The sequence below is a fragment of the Homo sapiens genome, chromosome 7, assembly GCF_000001405.40.
Source record: "Homo sapiens chromosome 7, GRCh38.p14 Primary Assembly".
Classification (NCBI taxonomy): domain Eukaryota; kingdom Metazoa; phylum Chordata; class Mammalia; order Primates; family Hominidae; genus Homo; species Homo sapiens.
The window spans coordinates 88,174,570-88,192,948 of record NC_000007.14 but is presented as its reverse complement, the minus strand read 5'-3'; the positions used below and the strand labels follow the sequence as shown (position 1 = coordinate 88,192,948).

General features: G+C 36.6%; 1 protein-coding gene across 32 annotated transcripts in view; it reads right to left on the bottom strand.

The window, feature by feature from the left end:
• ADAM22 (ADAM metallopeptidase domain 22) overlaps positions 1-18,379 on the bottom strand; it is a 268,639-nt gene that overhangs the window by 9,941 nt on the left and 240,319 nt on the right. For 6 of the 32 annotated variants that reach the window (NM_001391980.1, NM_001391982.1, NM_016351.6 and 3 more), the window contains 2 exons: positions 11,344-11,444; positions 10,925-10,991 (listed from right to left, as the gene is read on the bottom strand). In NM_001391980.1, the coding sequence (NP_001378909.1) occupies positions 10,925-10,991; positions 11,344-11,444 (168 nt within the window). Of the gene's footprint in view, positions 1-6,247; positions 6,335-8,546; positions 8,658-10,832; positions 10,992-11,343; positions 11,445-13,819; positions 14,015-18,379 lie in introns of those variants that run through there. The other 26 variants (NM_021723.5, XM_017012333.3, NM_001391979.1 and 23 more) reach the window with 12 other exon arrangements.

Here is an 18,379-nt window from a genome sequence, read left to right as displayed (position 1 = left end):
GCAATTTTATCTTCCTAATTTCATGACTGCAATGGATTATTTAAATGTTAGAACATAGAATGATACTTTTCAACTACAAGCCACTAAAAATGTATCCTATAGAATAGATAAAAAGCTAAAATGCAGAAGGGATGAAATTATTCTAAGAGCTTATAATGGTAAATTATGTGTATAAAATATTAATATTGTGCCTTATTTTTAACCACTTAATGTAAAAATGTTTAAGTACGATAATTCCAATTTTCTCTTAAGATCTTAAAATCCATTACAACTGATATATTTATTAGTTGCTAAATCACACACCAGTTTACACAACACTCATGCATTCAGAGGCCAGTGTGTTAGTTGTGAAGGAACAAAGGCAAATACAGGGCTTTTAATAAATTAGTAAACATGCAAGCAGTAAGGAGTGCAGAGTTCCAGCCAAACAAAGTCTGATGAGAACATACAAAAATGGTCTAATTAGTCCCTACAATCAGCATTTCTATGTAAGCTGCTGCTGTATTATGCTGTACTTGATTGATTTTGCATGTGTAGTGGTAATTTGTGACTAAGCTGAACATACTAGACAAGCCCCTATCTATTGCTAATTTGTCTTTAAAGTGAAAAAAGAAAACAGCTGAGTAAAAAATGTCTGCTCATAAGATATCAATGAAAAACAGATGTGATAACTGTAGTAGCTATTCCATTCACAAACGTTACCACTACACATCCACTGCTCCTTAATCCATGGTGCAAGGTGGTAAAAACCCACATTGAACTGGTTACACTGCCACCTTATAGCAAAAGTGTTTATTTCAGTAGAATGTACCTCATCTGCTGTGACTGATCCAGCCTGGGAATGTTAGTGGGAGGGGCGGGGGTAGCACTAGGTAGGTCAAGATCTACTGCCTACACTGCATTCAATAGCATAAAGGTGTCTTTTTTCCTTCCTTGTTTTAAATTTTGGTTTGCATGCGTATAATATCCTTTGCTCTGGTTCTGCCATAGTTTTCATACTAATTTCCATTTTATGGACACTGAATTCAAGCTAAAGTTTGAAAATAATTTTTCCCACACACCCTAAGATAGTAGTAGTGAACATTCTTGATAGATTTTAAGAATGAAGAATGGTACAATTCACTTTTAATCTGTAACTCCTATTTTTGAAAAATGGCTAGGACCACTCCTTTGCATGAACATTTAGAACACAGCAGCTGTTTGATTTCTCCTATGTTAATGCTCTTCATTGCCGAGCGGATGGGTGTAACTAATACTAGTACTTCAAATTCTCTAAAGTTCTATTAAAGCAATGTACTTCATATTTTTTTAATTAAGAAATTATTTTATTTTAGAAAAACACTTTAAATAGGACTATGATCTTTAAGAAACAAATTTGGTACATGTAAGATAATGGCAAACTTCTGCATTTAGATATTTAAATGCATCTTTCTAAAATGAGGACTATTAACCTGGCGTCAGCTTTTTAGCCTAATCACTACTGATAAAATATCCAACTTTAGGAAAGCTAGTAAGGTACACAAACAAATAATTAAATCTTGTTTACTTTAGGGGATCATGCAAAACAAGGCATCTTTTTAATCTGCTGCAGCATGTGTGTCCACACCATTAGCTATTAGCTTTTAGCTTCACAGTCATTCCAGCTTTAACTTGGCCATGGGTCCAAATGGCCAGCCTGATACATGGACAAAGCCATTCCAATGAGGGGTGCTGAAGGTCCAGTCTTCCCCTCAAATATCTTTCTATGGGCAAAGCCAATTAAGTTAGAACAAAAACAGGAGATTTTCTCCAGAACCCCAAAGAAATTGCACATATACTACTTCTTAAAATAACACGCTAGTTACACTAGTTAATTGACACCTTGGACCTTGAGGGGAAGAAGAGAAGCTGAGCAGGAAAGTTTTAGCAGGGGAAAGGGTCCTGGAGGCTGGTATAAAATTGATTATCTTGGGGGGATGAGAGCACCAGAGCAGGAGTCAAAATAGAAGTAAAGAATAATAACACTCTTGTTAATTGACATCTTGGACCCTGAGGGGAAGAGAAGCCCAGCAGGAAGGTTTTAGCAGGGGAAAGGGTCCTGGAGGCTGGGTGGTATGTGACAGCATAAAAGTGATTATTTTGGGAAGATGGAGAGCACCAGAGCAGGAGTCAAAATAGGAGTAGAGAACACGGTACGGTAAAACACTTTAGGGAAAATAAACTCAAAATTTCTCACAAATGTCTAAGGAAAACGTTTCTTCAAAACGATCTCCAGGCTCTTTTCTGACCTTTATTGACTACTTGCCCGGCAGTTCCAGCCTGGCTTTCACTTAAAGCCAGGCACCAGCCCAGCTCATTCACTTAAAAAGTGAAGTGCATCATTGGATACAAGTCAACCATTATTATTACTGCATTTTATTTTATTTTATTTTTTGAGATGGAGTCTCACTCTGTCACCCAGTCTGAAGTGCATTTGGTGTGATCTCAGCTCACCACAGCCTCTGCCTCCTGGGTTCAAGCGATTCTCCTGCCTCAGCCTCCCGAGTAGCTGGGACTATAGGAATGCGCCACCACCCCCGGCTAATTTTTCTATTTTCAGGAGAGACAGGGTCTCACCATGATGGCCAGGCTGGTCTCAAACTCCTGACCTCAAATGATCCACCCATCTCGGCCTCCCAAAGTGCTGGAATTATAGGCATGAGGCACCCCACCCAGCCCATTACTGTATTTTTAAAAACTATAATTACCATAATGGATACCCTATTAGAATTACACAATAAAGGTATGTTTGTGTGCCAATGGATTGTGGTGCCTCTTGGGGCTACATCAAACTTCCTGGGATTACCTTCTGTATATATGCCTGTAAGGCCAACCTCAGTTCAGTTCTGCACCCAAGGACAGGCTAAAAACCAGGCCAGTCACATGGAGAGGGACACAAGTCCACCTCTTATTCACTTGTGTTCATATGTGAGTTTTATAGTAGGTTGATCCAGGAGAATTTGTTATTTTATTTTTATTTATTTTTTTGAGACAGAGTCTCACTCTGTCGCCAGGCTGGAGTACAGTGGTGTGATCTCGGCTCACTACAACCTCCGCCTCCCAGGTTCAAGCGATTCTCCCGCCTCAGCCTCCCAAGTAGCTGGGATTACAAGCGCACACCACCATACCCAGCTAATTTTTGTATTTTTAGTAGAGATGGGGTTTCACCATGTTGGCCAGGATGGTCTTAATCTCCTGACCTCATGATCTGCCCACCTTGGCCTCCCAAAGTGCTGGGATTACAGGCGTGAGCCACTGCGCCTGGCCTAGATCCAGGAGAATTTGTTAAGTGTACTAAGAGAGGATTCAAGTCATCAGTATCCACTCTGCTACTTTTAATTAAGGTGAAATGGAAAAGGTACAGATTTTGGATTCAGAGTCAGGCTCTAGTTCTGGTTCTGACACTTACTAGCTGTGCCACCTTGAATTACTCTTTCTACCTCAGTTTCCTCCATCTACAGAAAGGTAATAAGAATGCTTACACTCTAGGATGTGAGGAATAAAGGTATATCATAGGCACTGGATACATGATAGTTGTAATTATTCGTTTCTTTTCAGAGTCACCAAAAATTCCATAGAATCATGGAAGTGGACTCGAAAACCCTGATGAAGTGAGTAATCAATGGGATAATACCCGAGAGTAAGGCTACCTTCTGAGAGCTTATAACAGAACTGCATCCAGGATCTGGGTGTGGCGAGATAATGCTCTTGTCCTGATCTCACTTGCTCCTTCCTGGTGGCCTGAATTCATGCAGAGGACAACCTGAGCAACCACCATCATATCGAAACTGGATAAGGGGGCACAGCAGAGGCACTCTGATCACTTGATATCTATTTAGGCATTTGCCTTGCTCTCTCTAGCAGTGTGGCCACTATATTTTAAATGCTGGACTATATTTTGAACCAGTTTGCTGCAGATTGCATTTTGATAAGGATGCCGCAAAGCCAACACCACAGGGGTGTAATCCCAGCACTCTGGGAGGCTGAGGCAGGTGGATTGCTTGAGCCCAGGAGTTTGAGACCAGCTTGAGCAACATGGTGAGATCCCGTCTCTACAAAAAACAATAAGGTGACCTTTGCCCTCAGTGGTGGTTTTGACAGGAAGGGTAATCCTGAATGACCTGGCCACAGATGAAGCAGATCTGAGCCTAAGCATAGGGTTGGCAAGGCACAAGCCAAGGTGTGGATGCACTTTGGGTCTCCTATGTGAGGCTTGGCTTGCACAGAGGGTGGATGAAATTCTCCCTTGCATTAGAATCACTGTGTTAAACGTTCTGGGCCATCTCAATTATTTACCACCACCACAGAAATTCTGTATTGAATTTCAAATCTTATCACCCTTATTAACTAAAAAATGTCAATTAAATTATAACTGTCCACAGAACTTTGTCTAACCTTTAAACATAAATATGATTTTAACAATTAATTCTTAATTTCACTATCTACTGTAGGAACCAACATCTCATATTAGAAGAGAAAACAAAGGAACCCTCTAAAATTGTCCTTGCAGTTTTGCACGTGCAATCAGGGGTGCTGAAGCATTTCCCCATCCAAATTGCATTTAGTCATGCAGCTTCTGGGCAGACCTGGGTGCTGATTTTAAGAAACGTGACCTCTTTCTCTGAGAGCCACATAAACTACTCAGCTCACCCAGGGGAGGTGAATCAACTCTTCCGGGGTACCATTTCACAAATTATTGCTGCAAAAATGCTAAATCCATTTGGGAATAAAAGCCCTAACCCATATAGGATGAAAGTCATTCTGTTTTGGTTCCATGGCTGGTACAAATTACAATCTGCCCACAAGCCTGAGGAAAACAGAAAGGAGAAATAGGACTGCAGGTGAGCCAAGATTCCAAATAACAGTCAAAATCATCTTACCTGTCTTCCTGATGTTGGCCATCTTGGGAGCTACAGATGAGGGTGGGATGTTTGAATGTGAGTGTATGTGTATGAGGTTCAGTGTGGGAAAGTGTGGGACAAGCAGAGGGACAGGGCAGGAGGGAAAGATGGGGTATAAAAGCAGGATATATTTTTGTGAGCAGGCAGGAGTTACGCTTTCCTTGGGGTATATGCAAATGTTATGGATCAAATTAAAAGGCAGGTAGGTCTAATCATTTTCTCAAACTATGCATAACTAAACTAAATGGTACACTGGAAGAGAGAGTCCACCTTATACGGGTGCTGAGAGTTAAAAACACATACATATTTTGATATCTGTTCAATGTTGACCCAAGTCATGGCAATCAGTAACATGAAAGTTTATTGTAAAATTGTGTTCAGAAGAGGTAGTAATTGAGTACATATTTCTCCTTTACCTTAGTTGTCCACAAAGTAGTCAGATATAAAGTGGACATTTACCTCTAGAAAATCACTTTGATATTATATAAGGGTAAAAAATGCCATTACGAACTCTTGGAAATTCTTTCTGACCTGTAATGTTACACAGAGCTGCAGTGAACTGAGTAAATTTGATAGTTTCTAAAATGTAGCGATATTCTTCTATTTTGTGAGTCAAGAATATATTTTCAGCTGCTTCCTGTTCTATTTGAAGTATTAGATAACAACATTTTTATAAGCATAAAAAATTTCTTACATGCTTTGTTGAGAATCTGTATAACACTTCTCAGCACAGCCTTTCTCTGGTAGGAAATGGTTATACTGAACAAATAAAACCTAAACTCATTCCACATACTCCCATGTGGTCAATGTTGTCTCAGTAATTTTCCAGTTAGACCAAATCATTGTTTCTACTCCAAGTAAAATCCCATCACATTTCACTTAGTTTCTTTATACGTTTTTCCGTGAGTTTTTGTATGCACTATGCACTCTTAGGCAGTAAGTAGGAAAAATGCATTATGAAACTGCTAGATTCTAGAAACTAAATTGTTCAGGTTAATAGTGCTTCTTTATTAGTGGAAAGTATGTTTCATGCCCATAGAACACTACATAGCATAAAATGAAGAGAAAGCTACTAAAAAGCTTAAGATGGTGATAGGGACATGCACTAAATGACAACCCTTTCAAATGGCTTTATTTGAAACATTCAGAAAAGAACCAGACTTGCTCACGAAGCAAAAACAGAGTCAAAAGGCAGCAAATAAACAAGGACCCCTTTCCACCTATAGGAACTTGTATTGGGAGATACAAGATAGAGAGCCAGTCACACTACAGTATTTGTATGTGCTGGGAGAGTTTGAGAAGGATATAAAAATTAATTTATAAAATACCTAAAGTATGGTCCTTCAGTGTTTTTATTCACATCTTCTACCCACTTAGCTACATTATAGTCTCTTTTGAACCATGGGTTTAAATACCTGCAGAAAGCAATGGAAGGAACAAAGAAAGCAGAACAAGATAGAAAATCTGAAAATACACAGCACAAGCTTAGCAAGGATGTCTTCACCCTCCAAATGCAAGTGACCATGGCAAATAAACCAGAATGGATGTTGGGTGATTATGAGGCAGTCTATACAATGACATGAGAATAATCTCAGCTACAACAAGGCTCAATCAAGGCATTCTACAATATATTCAACATTTCTGGGAAAGCCTTTTCCAGTGGCTTCCCAAAGTGAATTAGAAGCTCCCTTTCAATCACAGTACAGTCAGCAGTCCCATTCACCCACCTCTAAAGTGGCTTTTTCCAGGCCACCTCTCATTTGGCTCTTTGGTTTTTAAATGATAATGATGCTTTTTGAAAATACTCAGATGGCTGCAATTCCAATCTGGCATTTGGGCATACAACACCCTAAGAACAATTAAAAGGAACAAAGTTCTCTTTCCAATATAAGAAGGCTTTTACGTGACCACTGTCTTACTCTCTATAGAGGGTCTCAAGCTGGAGTCAACATGAAAGTATGTTCCAGTTGGCTCTGCAAGGAGCAGATAGGGTCCCACTCTTCTGATCCTGGAGCCTCAATGCACATTGTGTGGTCTAAATAGGCCTCCATGATCTTGAAGCTGGGTTTAGTAATTTAGTTGCAGCTGCAGTGTTCCTTCCTCTTCTTTGTGCACTCCAGAATAAAGTGCTCATGTTTCCATTAGGAACCAACCCTCAGAGGTTGCCTTCCAAGTGTCTGACCATGAATTGTGTGAATGACTGCCAGAGAATAATAATGACCTTAGTTAGCATTTCCCTGATGGATCTGGCAATGTTTCCATCAGAATTACTGTGCAAATTTTAAAGGTAAAAAAATTGGAGGGAGGTCTTCAGTTGTTGGTTTTCCCCAGAGTTTCCTTTGATTTTTACCCTGGGAGCCAAGCAAAAATACATCCCCTTCAGAGTTTGCCCTTGTAAAATAATGTAGATTTAACAAATTCCATACTGGAAGAATTTGGAAGTTTTACTTTTCATTTTTTTTTCATTTAAAAAGCAACTTCTAGGGCTACTATAGACAATAAAGATTCAAGCTCTATAAAACGTAAGTTATTTGTAAACAAACCAGGGGAAATTATAAAATACATTATTTATTTCTGGTTACATTTTCCTTCTTTCTCCCATATTTAGTTATTGAGCTCGTCATAAACATGGAAGACTACATTTCCAATTATATAAAAATATCAGGTTATTTTTTCCACAGCCCTTTCCCTCATTTTTAGCCATAATCGAGGTACTATACAAAATAACATTGTGAAATTCCCTTCTGAAAGAAGGGTTCAGTTGCTTTTTCTGCTTATAAGACCATTTTTGGTAAGATAGTATCTCCTGACTCAGAAACAACTCACACTAGTTTTGCCTTTAGCCATAATCATTGCCAACTTGTGCTTTCACAGATAGCCAATTAAAACTTGCATAAAGATTTCCACTGAGACTCTCAACAAAAAGAAAAAGTCAAAAAGCCAAGTGCAGCCACAAATGAAGGCTAGTGAATGCTCCGGCCTGGGGAAAACCGTAGAAAAAGCCCATGCAGCTATAATCAGGTGAAACATAGCCACACAGCGAAGTGAGTCACCCACAGGCAGACGGCCACTTCCGGGAGGAGACATTTGTTCCTTTCACTGACAATCTTAGAAACTCAAAGTACTGGTGCCACAGCTATTCCATGAATGCTACAACAACATGGCTTGACTTGCACTTGATGGACTTTTTCCTCTGTTTGAGGGAGCATTTCAGAAGGCTGTGGTCACTTCACCAGAGAGTTCTTCACTGAAAACAACTCCCAATTTTTTGTTCTTTCTGGGGATCTGCCCATGAAAATGTCTTCATGGTGAGCTTCCTGATATCTCAAGGTCATGGTGGCTGGAGTGATGGGATTTTATCATATTGCAGTAAATCTACCTATGTGGCTTGACTTGGCATATAGCGCGACATGCAAAAAAAAATGGCGTTAGATGGGATAGGGGAGCTCTTTGTGTTTTCCAGGATGGAAAGGCAAAGGAAAATTAGCTGGTGCTGGCTGGACCAGGAGCACCTCTGGCAAACATGAGGGCTCGCTCAAAGATCAAATGACCCTGTTCTCAGCCAAGGAAAGGACTTGTAAGGAGATTAAGTGGCAGCCCAGAATGAAGGGGCAGGTGGAGACTGACCTGTGATCCAGACTCCCTGTCTGGGGGCTGTCAGAGCCCCCTGGGCTTATGCCTTGGGATGGGACTGTCTGGGCGAGGGAGTGCCCAGGCTCAGGTGCTTGGGGCTCCCTCCTGTAAAAACACAATATATAATACAAAGTCTAAGCCAAAAAATGTTTTTACATCATGTACAACAATGAGGAAGATGCAAAAGTTTTGACTGGAAAAACAATACAATATATGAGGACATTTTATTTTGTTAATTAGCAGAGCATGCCTTTATGGTGCATGTTTTAATTCATGTCCCAATTTTTCATCATCTTTTGGAATAATGAGGTACTAAAGGGAATTTTGAGTAATGGACCTGAAACACCTCTTATATGAAAAAAATAAAAGATATATTTGTCTGTGGTAATTCTGCTCCTCTTGTAGTCACACAAATGGTATTATACTATCAGAAGCAAATGGGATTACTTAAATATGGAAAGTATTAAAAGTTTGCAAACATAATTCTTGATATGCTACCTATCAGGAATCCTTGTAAGAAAATATATACGTGTGTGTGTATGTATAAATATATATATATATATGTATATATACATGTGTATATATAGAGAGACAGTTCCTATACAAGAAGGTATGTGAGAATTATGGTCAGCTTTACAGACTTGGATCCATTTAATTAACATGAGTCATGTAACCAAAATCAGAAAAGTCTGAAAAATCTGAGGAAGTCCTTAATACTTCTCCCTCATAAAGATGATCCTATTGTAATGTCATATTAAATATTATAATTTAATTATCTCATAGGCAAGATTTCTCAAAGGCCATCTGTAGTATTACAATTTTAATCATACAATGTGAGTGGAAATTATACACAACATTTAAAAAAATAAGTAACTGCTCTAGAAAACACTGTATGAATATTGTTAAACACCAAATGTGCGTTAGGTCCTAAGCTCATAGCTTTAACATAATACTGATTTTTTTTTTAACTTAGGAGTTTTTGAAGTCTTGTTATAGGAAATGCTGTTAGAACACTAAACAGTAAACAAGGAAGTTCTAAAGAACATTTTGCAATTTTATCTGTACACCTGTGAGCAACTAAAATAAGTTAAGGAGCTCTTACTAGGTGACCTCATGCAAAACAAACCAAACAACATTCCAAGAAGAGTTTATCAACAATGAGCCCTAAAGCATCCAAGCGCTTTGGGAATATATAAGATAAACTCTAACACATTAGTTATTTATGATGGAATTCTATGATGCCATTCTGGACCATGCAATGGTATCACTTGAAATTGTCTACTGTGTCTATAAAGTATCCATGTTGACAAGCCACTTACAAGACAATACCATTCAGGTGGAAGGTCCAAATTTCAGGGCAATGTTATTATTCCTGGACTGAAAAAGGCAGGGTATATGACGGAAAAGCTAACATAAGTTTTTGACAAGCAGTTAACAAATACCTGCTATTCAGACTTTCCAAATATTAAGGCATGAAGAAGCAATAGAGATCCTGGAAATAATAACTATCGCTAGAGTGAGAAATAAGTAAAAAATTTTAGGAAGGATAAAATAGAATGGGTAAAAAAAGTCAGGTGGCAAGTTCAGTCCAAAAGGATACTAAGGATGTGTTTTATTCCATGAAGGGAGATAAAGATTTGAGGAGGTTTTGTTTTGCTTGTACTTTCTTAAGTGGAGAAACAAACAAAACAAATACATTATTTACTTCATTATAAATGACTTTAAATGTGACTTCTAAACCCACCCCCCTTAAAAAAAAAGTAAATGCATGGCTATCATTTAAAACGGATAATGTTGCATTTAGTGACAATGATTCAGTTAAAGAGCAAGTTTAGGAAAATGCCCTTTTAAATGTTCTCAGATAGAAAATTTAAAAGGGAAACTTATTCCATTAGTCTGAGAGAATGCTTAGATTGCAGCCATGAAGACCTCATAGTGGTGGTTTTAGATCATGAGCAGTATCATGCTCTAGTACAATGGGAATTTTTCCCCGATGCTTACAAGGCTGTGTGAGTATTGGGGAGAGGAAGGGTGACCCTTTGAAATGGTTGAATCCCAGATGATGAGAAGAAAGGAATGTTATCAAATTCCCTTCATATAGAACCAAGACCCCACAATGGCAGGTGACTGGAGGAAAAAGCCTGCAGGTGAGACCCCCACTATCAATGAATATTGGTATGGGAACAGTTGTGGAGATGCCTATGTAAGAGAGAAAAGCCATGGTTAATTTTTAAAGGGCAAAAAAGAATTTAAAAGACAAAACCAAGACCGGAGACATGGTTTACAGTTCTTTGACTATCTGCTTAATTTACTTTTGACACTATTTGCACAGGACCTTGGAGTGCCTTTTTCCATTAGAGGTTCAGACTTACTCAGTTGAATTAGACCGAGGTCTAAATCTTTTGCCTCTGATTTTCTTTTTGTTGCCTCCCAGGTTACCTGAAAAAGACGGTTTAGAGCTAGATTTCCATGTAAATAAGTGATTGCCCTATGTCTAATTACGAGGCATTTCAAGTGGGTATAATTGATAAGCAGCACCACTGTGGAACACCGGGTTTGTCACACTGTACAGCTTTCTCAAATTAAATTTCACAAAGTGTCTAGTGTCCTGGTGCTGCCGAATCCCATCATTTCCCATCCAGATAAAAACTAGGCTCTCATTCTACATATTCTCCTCTCTGTTGGGAGAAGAGCTAAAGAGCTTCAAAGAAATAAAAGTCTTTACAACCAGGGGCCACAGAATATAGAACTTGATTATGTGGACAGACAGATTCAGAATGCCAGCCTCTACCTTGCCAAGAGTTACTTCGAGGTCGCCCATTTTCACAGATGTCTGAAATATGTTTTGTGTCTGGAATCCTTTCACTCCAAGAATGAGAGAGCCCATTTGACCTGAAATTGAAAATATTGATAAATTGTTCAAAAATGTAACCAAATGAATGTTTTGAGATCAGTAAGCAAAACTTCTAAGCATTACTGTGCATTAAATAAAATAAATCAAGAAAGAAAAAATCTGAAATGAAAGAATGAAGAGAACATGAAAGTCTTCATGAAGAAGGCAGAATTACACAACATCCAATTTAAGAAAAGTCAAATACAATGGAACCCCATTACAATAGTATATAAATGAAAAGTATCAAGACACAATGCAAGCCAATTTACATTCCCCAGAACACAGCAACCACAGAGCAAATTCACTATGTATTTCAGCATCACCCCAGCAGCAGAGTTATAATGGGGTCCCACCATAGATGTTTCTTAATTGTAAAGCAATGGTTTCCACTCAGATATTATGAGAACATGGACTTCCAAGAGATTACATAAAGATTTGCTCAAGTGAACCTGGTTAACATTTATCAAAGCATTATTTAGATTTTCTTAAGTAATAAAATTATTTTCTAAGAATTGGCATTTTTCTCCACAAATATGGTCCAAAAAAGTGTAGTACATGTTGGCTAACTGTTCAATAACTGAACTGAATCAGATGTTTATCATGACAGTGCCTCTCACAAAGCCCATGTACCATTGAGCCCACCTGCTATTTGTGTCCTACCATCTTTAAATGAATGATCTAAAAGAAGCAAAATTTACACACCTACCTTGTACCACACAAGAATTTTAACAAGCTACATATACTTCAGAGAAATCTTAAGAACTTTTAACTGCTTAAGAATCATAACCCACTGAGATTTTTCTAAAATCTGGGAATTATTCAAATGGATATTTTAAACTCTTTTATAGGAACTTTAGAAAATAGCACTATACTTAAAAATCTTTTCCACATATTATTCTGGTTAATGGAATAATTTAATGGAATATTGGTTAATGGAATCTGGTTAATGGAATAATAATAGAAATAATTTCTATTTCAAAAAAAGCCTTCTACTGATCAGTGAAAATAAATGGAACTCAGCACAACTACTCCATATGAATTCCCTAGGTTGGAATTTCTCAACATCATTTGCTACTCACAGAATGACTCATATTTTGTACAAAAGAACAACAGAAATTCTGCTGGAAACCATTAATTTCTCCACTAATTTACCATGTTGTTTAATTTAAAATTTAATATTCTATCAAGAAAATATTTGTATCAGAGAATTCAAGTAGAACCCTAGTCTTCTCTTAGCCAACAAGCCCTCCATAAATTAAAAGAATACATTTTTTAAAACATTATTCTGTAGAAACATACTCCTTTGGCGACAACTAGTGTTTCTACTTTTGCTGGAAGCTACATTATCTAAGTGAAAATTATCCTTCATGCTTAAGAAAGTTCCACATAAAGTAGAGTTCCCAGGTCTCACTAATTCCTTCTATTCTCCTTCCTGATTAACATTTACAAAGACTGAGAGACATTGCAGAATATTTACAGATGATCCACTCTATACAGAACTCCGGAACAGGTCATGTTTCCTCCAATAAACTAGCATCTTCCCCTTCACTCTGAAAAGTAGCTAATGTGCCCAAAGGCATGAGCAGGGCTACCAAACCTTTTTTCCTGTCCATTATACTCTTATTGGCAACTTTAAATAAATAAATTCTCCCACAAGAATATTTTTGCTTCCTTCAATGTGAACATAGGTCTCATTTCCTAAAACATGCCAACTATTTATTTCTTCTTTTCATTTATTTTATTAAGCAGTTACAAAGCATGCAGAATTTTAAATGGTGTCATACACCTTAAGATGCTAGAATAAGAATATAGCATCAGTGTCTAAGACATAAATAATATATTAATCCCACCTGTACTATTATAAAACTCAGGCAAAATTAAGCACACTTAATTTGTCAACTAAGTTGTAACTTATAAAGTCTAGAAATAATCACCCCCCAAAAAAGGCAAAATCACAATACTCAAATATATGATTCACAGAGAAGCAATCTTTGTTTCATAGCGAGCTTAGCTTTGATATATATAAAATTAAAAAATACTCAATGCAGCACTTATATCACCAATTTATTTAACAGTTGCTTTTATTGAAGCATGACAGTAACCTTTTTCTTTGACTACCAAACATGACATAAAGCTCACCATTTAAATATTATTAAATACTATGTATAGTTTCTTAAGCCATATAAAGCAAGACTGAAAAACCCTGAGGTTTCTATATAGATTCAGAGTTATTGTTTGGTTTGCTTTGTTTTGATTTTGTGGCCTGATTTGTATAATGAGTGGTTCTGAGCATATGGCATTTTGAAGTAGAGTAATCAAAGAACAAAGGATACTATTTTTTAACATTCAAGAAAGAAGGAAGAAGTAATCAAACCTGCTGCAAAATAATGAAATGTTCTGACTAATGGAATAATGTGTGATGGAACAGGTAGAAATCTGAAAATGCGACAGAAAAGCAGACCTCTTCTTAGAACTAGATGCTGAGTTTGTGCTGACTCCGGGAGGAATGTCGCTATAAAAAGAGTCACCATCTCCAGGCTTTTTTACATAATCTCCCTGGGGTAACTGTCTAAGGCATAATAAACATTTCAGAGTCAGAAAACAAGACACACACATGAACACAGACATATACAAATATTATTTCAGGAAAAAAGAGAGGTAGGGATAATGATCTACATGAATCAAATCTATCACAACACATAAAATTATCAATAAATGAGACAAGTTAAAGTCATTCTAACTGTAGAGGCCAGAAATGCAATTACAAAAGTCTTTTATCATTTGGATGAATAAAGCCTTGCTTTGGGGAAAAATATGAAAATATGAGTGTTTTCATGGTAACTTCATTATACTTGAAAATGTTAAGTGCATTTTTGTCTTTTTTTAAAAAAAAAATATGTCGAAGGTGTGTTAGGACAGATAGTCCCTACCCAGATTAAGCATAGCTTTCTTTTTCTTTGTGGTGAATAAACTATTTATAATTTCTAAACATCACATAATGCAACCTGGATTTGGTCTGAAAAGAACTGATTGACTTTTAAACTATTCTAGAATTTCATCCAAATAAATCACTATTAGAGTTTGATGTTCAATTTAGAGCTTCATTATTCATTTAACAGAAATACGAAGAAATGGAAAGATTCAAAGTTAAATCAAAAAGGTAATTTTATAACTGTTCAGTGGAACATGTGAAGGAAGATAATTTAACAAGAGCAAGAAAAGGTTGAAAAAAATAACTGAATTTTTGCTGAAACTATAGAAGTATATTTATAGGTAGTTGGTGGGTGACCTTAGTTCTCTCTCTCTACTGTAGTAGGAGTGCCCAAGTGAAAATGTATTTAATCTGCACTGTTATTGACCCAAGTCATCTGATTTTCAATAAATTAAGATTGGAACAGATTTTTATTACTTCTCCTAATGTAATCAGATAGAAAATTTTAGATAAGGCCCCCAGTTAACCTTCCTGCAATAGCTAATCTGGTCATTTGTCAGTAGTGTAGCCTCCAAATAGCCAACTGCACCTAAAACTTGATTCTTTTCTATTCAGTACTATTGTTGGAGGTGCCACAAACTAGTGCTGGACTGAGAATTTTTAACAAAGCTATGCTTAATTAAATCTCTAGCAAAAGCACAAATTTGCTAACTTTTCTTTTTCTTATTTGGTTTCTCCTTATTTACCATTATAATTTTGATTATTTGCTGATGCTGAATTTAATCCCCCCAAAATGCCATTTTCAGGTGTTTGCTTGCTTAAATTTTTGCCATATTGTTGTAAATGTTTAAAATACTTGGTCATTCATTCTGTTGAATGATTGAATACTCTCATATTATTTTAATGCTATTTAGTTACACACGTCTGTGAATCTGAAAGATTTTTCAGTTAGTATGAAGCACATATTTTAACTTGTGTGATTTAATCTACTCTCTTTTATGTTTACTAAAGAAAGTAGAATTTCTCATGAAATTAGTAATGTAGGATTAATTCCACCTATAACTTTTTGATATGATTCCTCCAAAATATTTTTAATTCTGTAAATGACTTCAGCTCATAATAGTTATTCTTTCTTTTCCCCAGTATATAAAACATTAATTTTATAGGATAATAATATGAAACTTCACATTTATATTGTTACATGACACCAGCTATATCTTCCCCTGTAAGAGATCTTTATTAATATTTTCTATTTTACCTTGTATCAGTAAAATATTCCATTAGTGCTTGAAAAAAAATGCTGTCAATAAAATCAGAGTTCTAGTTTTTGCCTTGGGGAGAAAACTTCCCTTTTGTATTACATTAATATTTGTAAAAGAATCCCATGAACACATTTCCAATAATAATATCTATGGTTAACAAATCCCATTTATCACTACTATCTTTACTGATAATCTTTATAAACTGATGAGATGTGCCTCACCAAATTCAAGTCAATTAAAGACCAGGCTGGGCGTGGTGGCTCACGCCTGTAATCCCAGCACTATGGGAGGCCGAAGCGGGCAGATCACTTGAGGTTGGGAGTTGGAGACTAGCCTGGCCAACATGGTAAAACTCCATCTCTACAATAAATACAAAAATTAGCTGGGTGTGGTGGCACACACCTGTAATCCCAGCTACTCAGGTGGCTGAGGCACAAGAAGTGCTTGAACTTGGGAGGCAGAGGTTGCAGTGAGCCGAGATCGCACCATTGCACTCCAGCCTGGGCAACAGAGCAAGACTCTGTCTCAAAAAATAAATAAAATAAATAAAATAAGTAAAAAATAAAGACAAGCTATTATACAAGAGCACTGAACTACACTTGACCATTCCCAGTATTCTATCCCACAAATCGCCTTCTCTTTAACATTTAAATTTAAACATTAAGTAAGGCCTCACTTAGCTGACACTGAGGATGTAGATGGACTATGTTTCACAATGGATGGGGCCCAGTTTTGTTTTGTGTTTTTAACTGAACACGTTTTATTATCCCTTCAATGTAACTTCTCTGAAGTCCATGGTCATTTTTTACACAGTGCCCAAACACCCTAAATGCTAAATACATCATAAACTGTGGGTTTCAGTCAGTTTCAGTTCAATGTACTTCTGGAGCACCACCTTGTTTTCATTAGGTTGAGCAGATTAGATTCTTATCTATCACACTGCAAAGTCTCCAAAAGATGGAAATTCACTGGCTTTTCCCTAAAATTCCATAAGGAATGCATGTAACTTTCTTCACATGGTAAATGTCAGTGATAGGTTATGAATTTCGTTAAAGATCTCTTAAGAATAATGTTTCTGGAAGGCTGAGGTGGGCGGATCACGAGGTCAGGAATTCGAGACCAGCCTGACCAACATGGTGAAACCCCATCTCTACTAAAAATACAAAAAAATTAGCCAGGTGTGGTGGCACGCACTTGTAATGCCAGCTACTCAGGAGGCTGAGGCAGGAGAATCGCTTGAACCTGGGAGGCGGAGGTTGCAGTGAGCCGAGATCGCGCCACTGCACTCCAGCTTGGGTGACAGAGCGAAACTCCATCTCAAAAAAATAATAATAACAATACTACTACTAATAATAATGTTTAACATCCTTCATTTAGAAATTTGTCTTTTTTACAATTATTAATTACATATCATAACAAAGCTAATTCTTCTTGCTTTAACAGAGAATATCAAGCCCCCATGGTAAATAAAATAACTTTTCATCATTTGTTGTCATAAATGACTAAGTAAATGATCCTTTTAAAATTTTAAATCAAACTTCTTTTTCCAGTCCTTTATTATCTTTACGGCTTTCTTCCTAAATCTTGAGTGCTTTCTTATTTCATCAAATTTTGGAAACTAAAAGTGATCACCACAGTAGGTGGCCTGATTAGTGCTAAATTTTATAATGGGAAAATTACCTCAAATTTCTCATATTACATGCAAATATTTTAGACATGTATGATTTTTAGTGAACAATAGCCAAAATATAATAAACACTTATGTAACTAGTTTTTTTCCCCCTCAAAACGTATCTCTCCCCACATTAATTACATGTTGTCTTTTTCTTCTCTGTACAACTTTGGCATTTCATTTTGTGTTTTGAATCGATACATCCCATTAAATAACATTCTTTTGAAGGTATTTCCTATTCTCTAGGTAAGGATCAACCCCTGTAACTTAATGACTCTGGGGGAGCTAATTTATACAATTATTTCTCTCCAGGTCTACAATACTATGCTTATTGCTTGCTTATTCTTATTCCACTTCAGAAGACAACTCTTAATGTGTTCATAATTATAAATCATCTAGTTGTTATGTTAGCATTCTAAATTTAAACATCAAGTAAGACTGTTTCTTGATCACCCCAAAACCTTTAGGCTAATGGTCCTGTTATGAGAGAAGTCTAATCTTTCCTAAAAGCATCAATTGAATTATATTTATCTTAATAATTCTTATGCATACTTAAAATGTTGGAGGAAAAAACCATTTAACCAACTCTTAACTTTAGTGCTGAAGGAGGCATTTCTCCAATGCTTGGTTGGCATCTGGGCTGTCTCTTATTAAATTGCTACTTTACTGTTTTAAGAAATACTGTATAATGTGTACCAAGTAACATTGACAGATGCAGGAATATCACCGAAATAATAATAATAATATAAAAACAAACTAAGAAAGGTTTGGAAAAAAGATGAGAAGTTCACAAGTAGAAAATAAAGTGGCTAAAACAGGTGAGAGAGAAAAGAAATGGGGAAGGGGAGGGCATTCTGCTTAAAGTGAAACCATAAATCAAAAAGATATAATCTAATTATTTTTTATATTTCTCATCAATCATAATGGTGTGTGTTCATCTCAGACAAAGGAAGAGAATAAGATTTCAGCTAAATATGAATGTTTTATGTATCTAAGTTCAGTTACTGTTTCTTATTCTATTGCTATTTGCAAACTTACCCTAAAAACTAAAATCCACTTATAATTCTC